Source organism: Homo sapiens, chromosome 5, assembly GCF_000001405.40.
Source record: "Homo sapiens chromosome 5, GRCh38.p14 Primary Assembly".
Classification (NCBI taxonomy): domain Eukaryota; kingdom Metazoa; phylum Chordata; class Mammalia; order Primates; family Hominidae; genus Homo; species Homo sapiens.
Genome location: NC_000005.10, coordinates 33012628 through 33027659, shown reverse-complemented (window position 1 = coordinate 33027659; position 15032 = coordinate 33012628). Strand labels below are relative to the sequence as shown.

The 15032-nt window shown below is 37.9% G+C and overlaps 1 long non-coding RNA gene across 1 annotated transcript in view; it reads left to right on the top strand.

The window, feature by feature from the left end:
• LOC105374715 (uncharacterized) overlaps window positions 1-15032 on the top strand; it is a 41147-nt gene that overhangs the window by 21744 nt on the left and 4371 nt on the right. Inside the window, exon 2 of the long non-coding RNA NR_188269.1 lies at window positions 4333-4585. This is a non-coding gene — a long non-coding RNA (uncharacterized LOC105374715). The remainder of the gene's footprint in view (window positions 1-4332; window positions 4586-15032) is intronic.

Here is a 15032-nt window from a genome sequence, read left to right as displayed (position 1 = left end):
AAGGTAAGTTTCTTTAAGGTAAGGTAAGGTAAGGTAAGAGCATAAGGGGATGACATAGAGGGGACATGAAGAGAGAACAGATAGGAAGAAAGGTCGAAAGGATGTATAAGCATCAATTTCCACTTTCTAATTGCTGAAGGGATGATAGTGTTGTCAGTCAAAAATAATATCACATAACAGTGACAAGATTGGATAGTGTAATCTTTACTGGGGGAGGGCAGAAGAAAGTCAAAGTAGGAACAAAAGGTGTTTTCCATTGCCCCTGAAATCCTGTTATTACTAGGGCAGGGGTTGGTTTTATTTCTAAAATAAAAGTCTGACTTATTGATAATTGCTGCCTGAAGTCTACATAGAGAAGGTTTCTGAGGCTGTATTTGAGCTCCATTGGGAAGGAGTGCATAAATAAAGAGCAACTTCTGCACAGACACAGAAATCTCCTCCTGAGGTCAACTCTGCCGGTGAACCTGGCCCTGTACTTAAAACACCTTTCCTGCATATCATCCCATGACTGTAACCCTGCTGTCATTCAGATCTCAGCTTAAACATCACTGCTCAGCAAAGCTATATACCTGTCTACCCTCTCTTTGTTCCATACAGCATGACTGTAATGATTTTAGGCTGAAAAAAGCTTAAAACACCTATAACCCCTAAGCAACAACAGCAGCCAAGGAAAAAAAAATTCAGTAAATCTCCCACACACCTTGCTTCGGTAATACTACTTCCTAGTATACTTGACAGGATAAATTATTTATTAATTAAAAGTAAACAAGCAGGGTTAGAGGATACAGCCAAAAATAGAGTTGACTTAGTGTAATTAATATTAAAAATTCCATCTGACGTACTTGGCTAACAGGGCCAGTTGTTTATTTCAGCTACTTTTCTTTCAAATAATAACTTTTTTTAAATCACAAAAAGAATTTGTTTTCTATCCACTGAGAAAGGATAAACGCATCCAACCCTTTAAGAGAACTATCAGATAACTGAGAAACAAGTGAAAGGGTGGAGATAGAAATGGAAATGAGGGCAGTGTAGAGCCTTTCCATTTTAACCTAGTACAAAATTTAATAGGAAGATCACTTCTACTAATCCTGACTCTTTTATGCAGCAATCTGTCTAAATGTCAATTTTAAGTAGGATTCTATGTCTAGCTTGTGCCAGTGAGCTGATAAAGGATTTCTGACAATAAGTAATAAAGCCATGAATGATACAGTCTCTGGTTTCATTCTTCTTGAAATAGTGAAATCTCTAATAATAATAATATTTGCTGAAATAGCCTTATCTACAATCCACCCATTCCTCATGTAAAACATTGGTGCTGTGGTTTGACTGTCTGTCCACTGCAAAACTCATGTTGAAATTTAATTGCCATTGTAACTGTTTTAAGAGGTAAAAACCATTGTTGAGAATCCCCATGAGGCCTAGTAGAGTTGTGGGGATGGGGCTACTCCCAAGACCCCAAAACTGTAGAGCTACCAGTGAGCAATGACAGTGTGGGAGAGCTGCAGGAATGAGACTCCAACCTGTGAGAACTCCTACATGGACTGAGTCCAGTAAAGCTGTAAAGCAGGGTTGCCTAAGGTGTTGGGGGCCCAACCCCCACCCCATTGTGCCCAGGGACATGGAGTCAAGAAAGATTAGTCTCCAGCTTTAAGATTTAATGTTGTTTTCCCTGTTGGGGTTTGGACTTGCTTGGGACCAGTTACCCCTTTTTTTCTTGCGTATTTACCCCTTTTGATATGGGAATGTCTAGTCTATGTCTGTCCTACCATTGTGTCTTGGAAGCCCATAATTTGTTTTGATTTCACAGACTCACAGCTGGAGGAGAATTTCCCTCAAGATGAATTGTGCCTTGGGCTTCACCCATATTTGATTTAGATGAGACTCTGGGCTTTAGACTTCTGAGCTGGGGCTAGAATGAGTTAAGACTTTTGGGACTACTGGGAAGCAACGAATGTATTTTGTGTGTGAGGACATGAGTTTAGGTGGGGGTGGGCAGGAGCATAATTCTATGGTTTGAATGTTTGTCCTTTCCAAAACTCATGTTGCAATTTGTCAGTGTAACAGAAGTAAGAAGTAGGTCCTTTAAGAGGTGATGAGGCCATTAGGGCTACACCCTCATGAGTGGAATTAGTGCCATCATAAAAGGATGAGTTTTTCCTCCTCTTGCATTCTCTCTTGTCTTCTCTTGCCCTTCTGCCATGTGACTCTCATAGCAGAAGGCCCTCATAAGATTCCAGTCCCTTGATCTTGGACTTTGCAACCTGCAAGAACAGTAAGAAATAAATTTCTGCTCATTATAATTTATTTTGTGTATCACATATTCTGTTATAACAACACAAAATGGATTAAGACACTTGGTCTGAAAACCCCAGAATTGCTGTTCAATAAGTGAGTATTTTCAGGCAGTAAAGGTTATATTAAGCTATCAAAAAGTTATCTTTTTGAATATGGAATAAATATACATTAGATTTATTCAAAGAGGACCTTGCTAAAACAGTTAATAACAAATCTAGAAAGGTTTCAAAGCTCACATTTCAAAACAATTGTTAATCAACCTGGAGACTAAATTCTCCCCAGGTACTTTATTCAGTTCCATTTTTAACTTAACTGTACAGTGCAAGAAACTTTTCTGAGATCTAATCAGGAAATAGCGTGGGATCTACAAAAACTAACTTAGGTGGTCTTGGTTTATAGCAGGGTTTCTCAACCTCAACAACTATTGTATTTTGGGCCAAATAATTCTTTGTTGTGGGGCACTCTCCTGTGCATTGTTGAATGTTTAGCAGCATCCTTGGCCTCTATGCACTAGATGACAGTGACATCCTTTTCCCCAGTTTAACAAACAAAAATGTCTCCAGACATTGCCAAATGTTCTCTGGAGGGCAAAATTGACCCATGTTTATAGGGTAGGTAAGAAGCCTTTCCAGATATTCAGGATTTAGGCTCACAAGCTTGTTCAGTGGATTAAAACCTAAGGAAACTGTGCCACAGAATCTAGGCTCTTTACTACTTCTACATGCAAACTCATATGAGTCCACCAACATGGTTTGTTGAAGTTAATCAGTTGAAGCAATGGTAAACATATGCTGTACATATACCATATGAGTTTTATATAAGATCTTCGAAGAGCACACCTCTTCTCTTGTGAGCTCTACTCGGTGCTTCACAAATGTTGTTAATTTTATTTTGTCTACATTGTCAAAGGGCTACTTTGGATAAGATGGATAAGAATTTGGTTTACCATCCCATTCTGTAGTTAAAATTGCATTAAAGTTATTTGAATACTATGAGGTTAGAAATCTCACCATCAGGTTTACCTGAGGCATAGTTTTAAGGCTCAATAAAGTTGAAGTCCTTTAGCCAATCTTACTGTTTTCAATATTTTAATGCTTCCAGTTCAACTATTCATTCAGAGCATAAAAAGCAAGGATGAGTTAGATGGTCATTTTCTAAGCAATTCAGATTACCCAATATGTGTACATTTTTTAAAGGCTAGAAGCACAATAAGGCTAATTTCAAAACCATTTATAGTGATAGGACTCAGAGTAAATGTACCAATTTACCATAAGACATCACTAGGCTCTGATCATTAATGAGTATGTCAGATATTTCTCCTTTATATTTATATTTATATATTTACCTTTAAAAGTCATGTTCCACAGAGTATCAACCCTCTCATTCCTTAGGGATTCCCAACATGGCCCCATAAGAGCAGCTGCCAATCTTGGTCACCACAAATAATTAATCCCACCGTGAAATATTTAAAATATGTAAAGGTGAAAAGATCATAAAAATGAGACCATATGTCCAAACATACCACGTGTGCTTTGGCAAGAGAAATGTATGTGTTAAGACAAGTCTTAACCAGGCTGCCAGGGAACTAGATCAAAACCAGGACAAAAAGATTCTTTTCATATAAGCTAGGTATTTCCCTAGCACTTATCCCAAGGTTAACTGAGATGAAAAAGCCAATATACCCCCATTGGCCTGGCAAAGCCATCTTCCTTGATGGATGAAAAACATAAAAGGCCTAGAACCTTATATTTGGGGAGACGAACTGCCTTGGTCTAAATCCTGGCTCCACAACTAACTCTGCCAACATCTTAACATGTTGGCAACATACTTAATATCTCTGAGCCTCAGTTTCCTCGCCTATAAAATAGAAATTGTTCTATCTTTCTTCTGGAATGTTTTGAGGATTAAACAAGATAAAGAAAGTGTTTAGAATATTTTTGGCACAGAATGAAGGCTGTTGTTCTTATTAAGAAAAAAATCTATATTCCATCTCATCAGGAGTGCTAACATTTTGATTCTCACTTTTACTTGTTTCAGATTATGCTCCAAGACACTGAATCTGAAAGGATGCATCCAGTCTTGCCAAGTGGTTTCACTACCAAGGCCAGTCTCCATCTATGATAGACCCAAGGAAGATCATTTACAACTAGAATCTAGTCATTTAGGAGATTGTGTGCTCCCTGGATGGGCCATCTGCACTGGTGTGAGGTTTATCTCATTGAAGGGAAAACCAAAGGAATCTTCTTGAATATCAGCACCAGGAAGAGCAGTACAAACTGGAGAAGCTGGGGTATGTAGGCAATGGCTTCAACCCACGTATTATATGTATTCAATTACTCAGAAGACCCTGTACTCCACTTATTTTGGTTGAATAAGCAGACTGTAAAACCAACAAAAAATAGAAATTACTTTTAGATAGCTAGTATATGGGCTTATTCATGTCATACCTCTCATCCTTTAGAACCAGTTGTCTAAGTATTGATTATACCACTAGGTGTCAACATTATTAAATTAAAAATGGTTGTAGCTGGGCATGGTGGCTTGCACTTGTAATCCCAGCTACTTGAGAGGCTGAGCCAGAAGCATTTGTTGAGGTCAGGAGTTTGAGACCAGCCTGGGCAACATAGCAAGACACCATCTCTAAAAAAAGTAGCCAGGCAGAGTGGTGGCAAATACCTGTAGTCCCAGCTGTTCAGGAGTCTGAGGTGGGAGGATTGGATTGCTTGACCCCAGGAGTTTGAGGCTGCAGTGAGCTATGATCATACCAATGCACTTCAACCTGGGCAACAGAGCAAGATCCCAACTCAAAAAAAAAGTTTTGAACAAAACTTTGTAAATTTTTAAAGTAAAAATTCACTTTAATATTTAGCTAAGTGAATAAGAATTAGCTTAGATGACCCTCAAGAACGAAAGTGTAGTTCTCCACTCTTTTAATGCCTTTTGGAGCTTATTATACAATATTTTAAATATGAAAAATATATAAAGAATAATACAGCAAACTTTTCCTGAGGTTAAGGGTCTTTAGGGAACTCAGCTTTAATCTGGTCCAATTCCACATCTTGTTACCCCTTTTAATACCTACACCTTTAATACCCAAGACTCTGGGCATAGAAATTGTCAAATTCCCTGAAGGCAGCTAAATAATTAGCTGCAGTTTTCCATTCTACTTTCTTTGTGAGTATAAATGAGTTTTACATTTTAAAAGGCATGTACAATATTTCATTGAGCACTCTGTTTTTAGTGGGAAGTTTTTTTCAGGGTACCTAACCTCCTTCATTTTTTATCAAAATGTACTCGCTATTATGAGTTTAAAATGTTTTTAATTTTATTTTATTTACGCAGTTGTCTCTGTCCTCACTATTAAAATTGGAATGCAAATAAAAACAAAATGGCCAAGAACAGAATTGGTATGCATTAAAAACTATTGTAGGAACACACAGGTTTCCATGGAGGAGAGCAATTTTTGTATTTAAATGTATTGTAATAGTTTCAAAACAATAACTAAATTCAAATAAGCCATTTTTGTTGTTACTCAGTGAATGTGAACCCCAAACCAAACCATAATACTCCTTTTCAAAGGCCTTCTAGGATATTTCCCCAATTTATAAATTCTCCCATTCTAGTGTAAATTCGTCTTAGATAGCTAAGATGTTTTAGAGAATATGCATGCTAGCAAATCCACTAGGCCTTTTCCTTGTAACCTAAAGTATGTTGAGTTAATGAAGAAATTCAATCTCTTTCTCTAATGTTTATATCAAATTTTAGAATTCCTACAGTTTTCTTACCCAAGTATAGTGATCAGGAAAATCACCAAATGCTAAATTGGTGGTTTCAGCTTCCCAGAGTTTGGATGAGCCCTGGGGTATCATCAGATGTATATCTCACCTTGGTAACTATCTTTGATAGGGATGCTGACTTGCACTCCTCTGAGTGTACTGGCCAACTAAAGGCTGATACTCTCTGCCAAAGTCTCTGTTGAAGACCTGAACTTCAGCTCTAGCACCATTGTTCTGGTCATCCCATTCAGACTTTTCTTGGCCCCTATTCATGGGAAGGGGAGTAGGCATATATTCTGTCATTTCAAGATGAGGAAACTGAGGTTCTAAAAGGCTTATTTTTTCTGAATCCAGATAGTAAATGATGGAACCAAACAGACTGCACAGCTTATGATATTTCACTATCCTATGTTTCACATATAAAAAAACAATTTTGAGCTAATGGCCAATCGTGTAATCACTGACTTTGTAGACATTTTAGTGATTGGGCTTATGCTGACTACTTGTGGGATGTCTAATTTGTTTGCAGGCCTGCTTGGCATGTAGTAACTGTATATAAGTGTTTGCCATTTATCATTGCCAAAACCATGGCATGCTCAAACTGAGCACCTTAGGTGTCACAGTGTGTCAAAACTACCATTTCTGCAGCACCCTTTCCTAGATCCAGGCTTAAGAAGAGGACTATTCCCTTAAAATACAAGCAATTCTAAGCCAGAGGGAATTTCTGCAGCCAAACCAGAGTAGTATTTCTGTGATGCTCAGTGAGCCTTCAATAATTTCAAGGAATGGAACTGTATATATAACCCTATCTGTATAAAGTAAGATTAGATCTTTGTAGCACTCATTAATCTTGCTGTTGATTTTAAGCTCTTCCTTGATGCAAGTTTCTTCATCGCTGCCTTCATAGACATATCAAATTATGGGAAGCTTGTTAATTCAGACCAAGACTGCCCTCATAGAATCACATTATTTGGATAAAGACTTGATACAAACATCCCTCTGTAATGTCTATTTTTTTTTATTATACTTTAAGTTTTAGGGTACATGTGCACAATGTGCAGGTTAGTTACATATGTATACATGTGCCATGCTGGTGTGCTGCACCCATTAACTCGTCATTTAGCATTAGGTATATCTCCTAATGCTATCCCTCCCCCCTACCCCCACCCCACAACTGTCCCCAGAGTGTGATGTTCCCTTTCCTGTGTACATGTGTTCTCATTGTTCAATTCCCATCTATGAGTGAGAACATGCGGTGTTTGGTTTTTTGTCCTTGTGATAGTTTACTGAGAATGATGGTTTCCAGTTTCATCCATGTCCCTACAAAGGACATGAACTCATCATTTTTTATGGCTGCATAGTATTCCATGGTGTATATGTGCCACATTTTCCTAATCCAGTCTATCATTGTTGGACATTTGGGTTGGTTCTAAGTCTTTGCTATTGTGAATAGTGCCACAATAAACATACGTGTGCATGTGTCTTTATAGCAGCATGATTTATAGTCCTTTGGGTATATACCCAGTAATGGGATGGCTGGGTCAAATGGTATTTCTAGTTCTAGATCCCTGAGGAATCGCCACACTGACTTCCACAATGGTTGAACTTGTTTACAGTCCCAGCAACAGTGTAAAAGTGTTCCTATTTCTCCACATCCTCTCCAGCACCTGTTGTTTCCTGACTTTTTAATGATTGCCATTCTAACTGGTGTGATATCTCATTGTGGTTTGGATTTGTATTTCTCTGATGGCCAGTGATGATGAGCATTTTTTCATGTGTCTGTTGGCTGCATAAATGTCTTCTTTTGAGAAGTGTCTGTTCATATCCTTTGCCCATTTTTTGATGGGGTTGTTTGTTTTTTTCTTGTAAATTTGTTTGAGTTCATTGTAGATTCTGGATATTAGCCCTTTGTCAGATGAGTAGGTTGCGAGAATTTTCTCCCATTTTGTAGGTTGCCTGTTCACTCTGATGGTAGTTTCTTTTGCTGTGCAGAAGCTCTTTAGTTTAATGAGATCCCATTTGTCAATTTTGGCTTTTGTTGCCATTGCTTTTGGTAGTTTAGACATGAAGTCCTTGCCCATGCCTATGTCCTGAATGGTAATGCCTAGGTTTTCTTCTAGGGTTTTTATGGTTTTAGGTCTAACGTTTAAGTCTTTAATCCATCTTGAATTAATTTTTGTATAAGGTGTAAGGAAGGGATCCAGTTTCAGCTTTCTACATATGACTAGCCAGTTTTCCCAGCACCATTTATTAAATAGGGAATCCTTTCCCCATTGCTTGTTCTTCTCAGACAAACCTGACAAACCTGTAATGTCTATTAAAAAGGAATCTTCCTAGGTAAATAACAATATAAACAATGTTAAAGGAAGTTTATTTAAATATTTCAAGGTAACACATATTTTTAAATATTTTAACTCTTACCAACAATATAAATGATAATATATAGTTATGAGATTTGTTTCTTAAACCAGGTCCACAGAAAATTTCTACTGGGAGATACTTCCTAATAGGCTGACTCTATTTGCTTCCCATTACAGATTTTAAAATATTTTAAGACCAATTGTCTCAGGAATATGTGTCAAAGAAAACAGGTAGTGCTGAAGTTTTAAATCTAGGAGCATTTATAAAATTGGTGAATAAATCAACAATTAATAATTTTAGTTCTACAATATGTTTATCTACCTGACTATGTCATGTTTAGGAAACTCATTAAAGTCTTAGAAGATTAGACAAGCAATTTTCTTGGTAGTGCTGAATTTAAGTATTTCTGAATAAATCTCTTTTACAAATGAGAATTATAAATGAAAATTTCAAATGTCTCTGTACATACATACATATACACAAACATATATGTTTATAAATTTGAGCAGATACAAAGAAACCACTAGAATATTTCTATAACATCTGTGCAATTTAATTTAAAAATTTTATGGTCTTATTGTGGATGTTTTCTGAGAGCCCAAACTTAAACATTTTCTATATGAGGGGAAATGTTCTGTGTCATCAGCCACAGGTTCACTCTAGTCTTTAAAAATACCCAGTGGCCAAGTATGGTGGCTCATGCCTGTAATCCCAGCACTTTGAGAGGCCAGGGTGGGAGGATCACATGAGGCCAGGAGTTTGAGACCAGCCTGGGCAACATAGCAAGACATCATCTCTATAAAAATATATTTAAAAATTAGCCAGGCCTGGTGGTGCATGCCTGTAGTCCCAGCTATTCAGGAGGCTGAAGTGGAAGGATTGCTTGAGCCCTGGAGTTTGAGGCCACAGTAAGCCATGATCATGCCCTGTACTCCAGCTCAGGCAATGAAGAAAGACTTTACCAAAAAACAACAGCAACAACAAAAAAAAAAACCGAAAGCCTCAAATGGACATTTATCTGCAGCCTGCCTTCCATATTCTTCTTTTGAACATTGCCCCCACCACCCCCCACCACCCCTTTCCTTTTCTCACTGAAGTAACACGGAATCCAAACAGTATCCTCCATTTTCTTACACAATCTCACAGCCTTGGCACATGACTCTAGCCTGACCAATCAGTGTGTTTCCCTGGGGAAAACTTTCTTCCTTCTGTGACCCTGAAAGAGCCCGAGCTATTGCTAGCTGCTGTGTCTGATTGTATAGAAGATCTGCCTTTTGAAGGGAGCACAAAACTGATGTTCAGAAAGAAGGCAGTATGTTAAGAGAGAGAAAATAGAGACAGAGCAAGAGACAGAAAAAGAGAGAGAAAACTGAGAAGAGAAAAAGACTAAATCAGAGAGAGAAAAAGAGAAAGGAAGGCTGGAGGGAGGAAGACATTGAGATTGTATTAATGTGATTGTTCTGACTATATTTTTGGCTCTGATTCCTGCCCTAGTCCTGCCTTCCAAGGCTTGGCTTTTAAGCCTTTGCTCCTCTTCTGTGAGATACTTGCTAACCTTCCAAAAAATTCCCCTCTGGTGTTCAAGTTGGGTTCCTTGCATTCAGAAGATTGCTAATAATGTTAGCGCCTCTTCAAAGTCTCTGTGGCACTGCATTTGGAAGGTATGTAAGTTTGATAATGTGGAGAATCATTTGGAATTTATGTTAAATTTTAACCTTCCACCAAATTGTATACTGATGTGTAAGGAAGGAGGAAAAAATCACCTAGCATGTATTATTATTATAGAAACTATTATTCCAAAGAACAGTAGGTGTGATTGAATTGAGAATGACAAACCAGCCTCAACTAAGCAAGTGGATGGGGAGAATGGCTCCATGTAATCCTCTTAGAAAAACTTAGACTGTATGAGAGGCTGAAGGAATCTCCAAATTTTCAGTTACCCAAGTTGTATTTTCCCTGCAGACTCTTGGTATATTTGTTTCCTATTACTGCTATAATGAATTACGACAAACTTAATGGCTTAAAATGAAAATATATGTATAGATCTAGAGATAAGAAATATAAGGTGGGGTGGTAGCGCGGTGTTCTTTCTGACAGCTCTAGGGGAATATCTGTTTCCTGGCTTTTTCCAGCTTCTAAAGGCTGCCTGCATTCCTTGGCTCATGGCCTGCATCATTCCAACTTTGCTTCTGTCATCACATCTCTTCTAACTCTGACGCTCCTGCATCCCTCTATAACAACGCTTGTGATTACGTTAGGTCCACCTCATAATCCAAGGTAATCTCACATCTCAAAACCCTAAATTTAATCATATATGCAGAGTCCTTTTGATATGTAAGGTGGCATATTCACAGGTTCTGGAGATTAGAACATAAATATCTTTGCGGGCCAATATTAACCTACCATACTTGATACTGATCTTTGCAGGAAAGGGTGTAGCAGTCAATGCTACCCAGGAATCAGTGACTTAATATATTGTCTCAGACTTGTTTGGAGAGGCCCTGTCTTCATCTCCAAATGGGATATTCTTGTGGGGCAGAGCTCAGGATCTGGTATGGACTACCCATCATTTTTCTATCGCTGTAGAGAATATGGTCATTTATCGGCAACCTCACAAATGTGAGATGGTGTCAGTGGTGATACGAAAGCTTTTCGCCAGGCAGTAGGGACAGATCCAGATCTAGGACCCAGTTGCTCAAAAGCCTTAGGATAGAACATACTGCTTACCAACAAACTGGCCAAGGCACTTATCTGGATTAATAGATCTCTGAAAATCTAGAAGCATGATACAGAGGCAGATTTCATGAAGCTGATAACCAATAATCCCACTATACTGACATCTATGCAAATAGTGCTGTGCTACAAAGACAGTGAGCATGTTTCATGAGTCCTGGCATGCAAAATGCTAGATCCTTTCAGAAAACCATCTGGCCTACCACTTGCAAAACAACTCACTCATAGATTAGCAGTAACAGGAAACCCTTACTGCTCTTAGTACAAAAGAACAAAATGGATCTGGAGCTATCCAGTAGAACTTGGAACCACTGAGAATCTATCTGTCTGTTCTTCCTATGGAAGAAGCACTGCTTTTGCAGAAGACTCCTCTGAAGCACTGGGTGGATCAGGGCAGGAAGAATACCCTGACTTTTTCTTGCTTTCTATCCTTCAATCTCCCACCAGAGCCTCACATCAGTGTCAGAAAGCTAGTTGACATGGAAGCCTGAAAAATGCAGCTTGCCAGGATGCCTCCTCCCTTCCACTCCTCTCTTCAATTCAGAGGGGAGAAGTGAGAAGGTAAGCAAGGGATAAGCACATGGCTAACTTTGAGAATTGCTGGGTTAAACAAAGAACAATTCGTTTCTTAATCATAGGATATCACATATGTGCTATGATTCTTAACAAAAGGGATTTAGTGTTTGGTTGAAAATGGAACCTTTTATACCAGAATATTTCATAAAACTCATCTTCAAGTACCACACTTTGACTTTTGACTCTACTACTAACTCTAGGATCCATCTGGGTTCTTGCTTTTGTGAAACTAACTACAAAGGTGAAGAACAGAAATATACCCTCAGGATACATTGGAGTGCAGGGAACAAGACTGACAAGCAGAGCTCAGAGAAAAAATATAAGAAGGAACATGAAGAGCTGGAAATGAGGAGTGATATCAGAAAGATGGCAGCATAGGAGCTTTCTACCATCATCCCCCATGGAAGCATTGATTTTGACAACTACCACAGATGAGTGTACATTTGTGGGAGTCAGGGAATACAGTGAAGAAGTTCCAGAACACCATTAGAGAAAAAAATCTGAGAATAGTCACACTGAGGAGTATAAGAAGAAGAGTTTTACTTTACCCATGTCACTCCTCCCCCAAGGCAGCAGAGTTCAGTGCTGAAAGACACCATCCTCAGCACACAATTTCTCCAACAGGAAAATAAGAGCATACTGAGTTAGTGTCCTGCTCCCCTAGCTACACAGGATGCTGTCCAAGAGGCCCACTATCATCCCACCCAGAACACTGAGGTGATTGGCACAACCGAGTGGTTGGAAGACACCAGGAGCAGGGAGAAGAGGTCACAGATTCTACTAATCACTCTGCAGACTTTATCAGGAAGCCTTCCCATGAGCCACTTGGGAATTTTTGACTTTTAAACACCTCCCAACTGGTCCACAGACACTCTAAACACCCCGTGGCTCACCATCCACACCAGGCTAGCTCCCCAGCACACCTTCACAGATAGCAATTCAAGCATCTTGTGCAGACAGCCATCTGGACTCTGCAGATTAGGAGAAGGCACTCAAACTTGAACATTTCAGAGCACTGCCATAGGGAAAACAAGCAGGAGGCTCTTAGCACCCAGCCTGGCTTTGCAGGATTGAAAGAAGGCAAAAATATCTCAAGAATGTGCATATTAGAGGGAACAAGAGATGTGGAGCAGATGCAGCCACAGAAAAGTTCAGAGAGAGCCTCAGAATCACTAGCCATGCTTTTCGGTGAAAAAATTTCTCTCCTGAAGATAGTCAGTAAAGACTGAAGGAGGTGACTGTTTCTTCAAATCAAAGACAACAATGCAAAACTTCAAGGAACACACTTAAAAAAATCAAGTAAACATGAAACCAACAAGGGAGCACAATACTATGCTAGTAACCAACCCCAAATAAATGAACAACTATGAATTGCCTGACAAATAATTTAAAATAACAATTTTGAGGAAGATCAACAAACAGCAGGAGAACACAGATAGGCAACTCAATGAAATCTGAAAAACAAACCGTGAACAAAATTATAAGTTCAATAAAGAAAAATTATTTTTTTAAAAAATTCTGAAGCTAAGAATACAATGAATGAATTAAAGAAGGCAATAGAGTATGTCAACAGCAGACTTCATAAAGCAGAAGAAAATCTATGAAATTAAAGAAAGATCATTTGAAAATATCCAATCAGGGGAGAAAAAAGAATGAAAAGGAATGAAGAATATCTATGGGATTTATTGATGGTGTTATCAGGAGAGCTAATATTTGCATTATAATATACCAGAAGGAAGGGAGAGAGAAAAAGGAGCACAAGCTTATTTAAAGAAACAATGGCTGAAAACTTTCTAAATCTGGAGGGAAATATGGACATTTAGGTATATGAAGTTCAAAAGTCTACAATCAGATTCAACCCAAGAAAGACTTCACCAAGACATAATATAATCAAACAGTCAAAATCAAAGACAAAGAGAAAATTGTGAAAGCAGCAAGAAAAAAGAGGTTTCTCACATATAAGAGAACCACCATAAGACTATGACCAGATTTCTCAGTAGAAACTTTGCAAGCCTGGAGGGTGTGAGATGATATAGCCTAAGTGCTGAAAGAAAAAATAAATAAATAAATGAACTGTCAACTAAGAAAACTTTAACCAGCAAATCTGTTTTATAAAAACGAAAGAAAGAAAAAGACTTTCCTAGACAAAGCTGAGAGAGTTCATCACCACTAAACCTAACAAGAAATGCTAAAGGGAGATTTTCAAGCTGAAATAAAAGGATACTAATTAAAATATGAGAGTATACAACTCACTGGTAAAAGTAAGTATATAGTCAAATTTAGAATATTCTAATACAGGTTGAGTATCCCTTATCCAAAATGCTTGGGATCAAAGTGTTTAAGATTTCAGATTTTGGAATACTTGTATATACAGAATGAGATATCTTAGGGATAGGACCCAAGTCTAAACACAAAATTCATTTGTTTCACATATATCTTTACATGTAGCCTATAGATAATTTTATGCAACGTTTTAAATAATTTTGTGCATGAAACAAAGCTTGTATACGTTGAACCAATCAGAAAGTAAAGATGTCACTACCTCAGCCACCCATGTAGAGAATCTGTGGTTGTTTGTCATCATCATCATTCCTGACTCTGAATTTATATGCTACCTATAAGCAATCATTTTCTTATGTTTATTCACACATCAGTACCTAACAGTAAAAAACATGACATACCATTAATATAGTAAAAAAAATAATAGTGTGTTCTGGGTAGCTAAGCAGCACAGAATATCTACAGAATATAATCACCAGAATATCTACATCAGCTGTTCAACATAGCAATAACAAACAACAGAAGCCTTTTTTCTCCACTACAATGCTTGTTTTGATTAAAAGGTTAACTGCCTTGGGGACCCTAAATAAACTGTGTTGTGCACCTGTAGTTTGATTATGCTGCAGTTTGATTATGACACATTACATGAGGTCAGGTGTGGAATTTTCCACTTCTGGGGTCAAATTGGTGCTCAAAAGTTTTGGAGTTTGAGCATTTTGGAATTCAGATGTTTAGATTCGGAATGCACAACTTGTGCTGTAATGATGATTTCTAAATTATTTATAACTCTAGTATAAAGGTTAAAAAACAAAGAATATTAAAAGTAAGTACAGCTACAATCATTCGTTTGTAGATACAGAAATGAGAGGATATAAATTGTGACATCAAAAATATAAAGGAGAGTAAAAGTGTAGAGTTTTATACATTATTGAAGTTAAGCTATTATCAACTTAAAATAGACTATTATAAGCCAAGATGTTTTATGTAAGCCTCACGGTAATTACAAAGTAA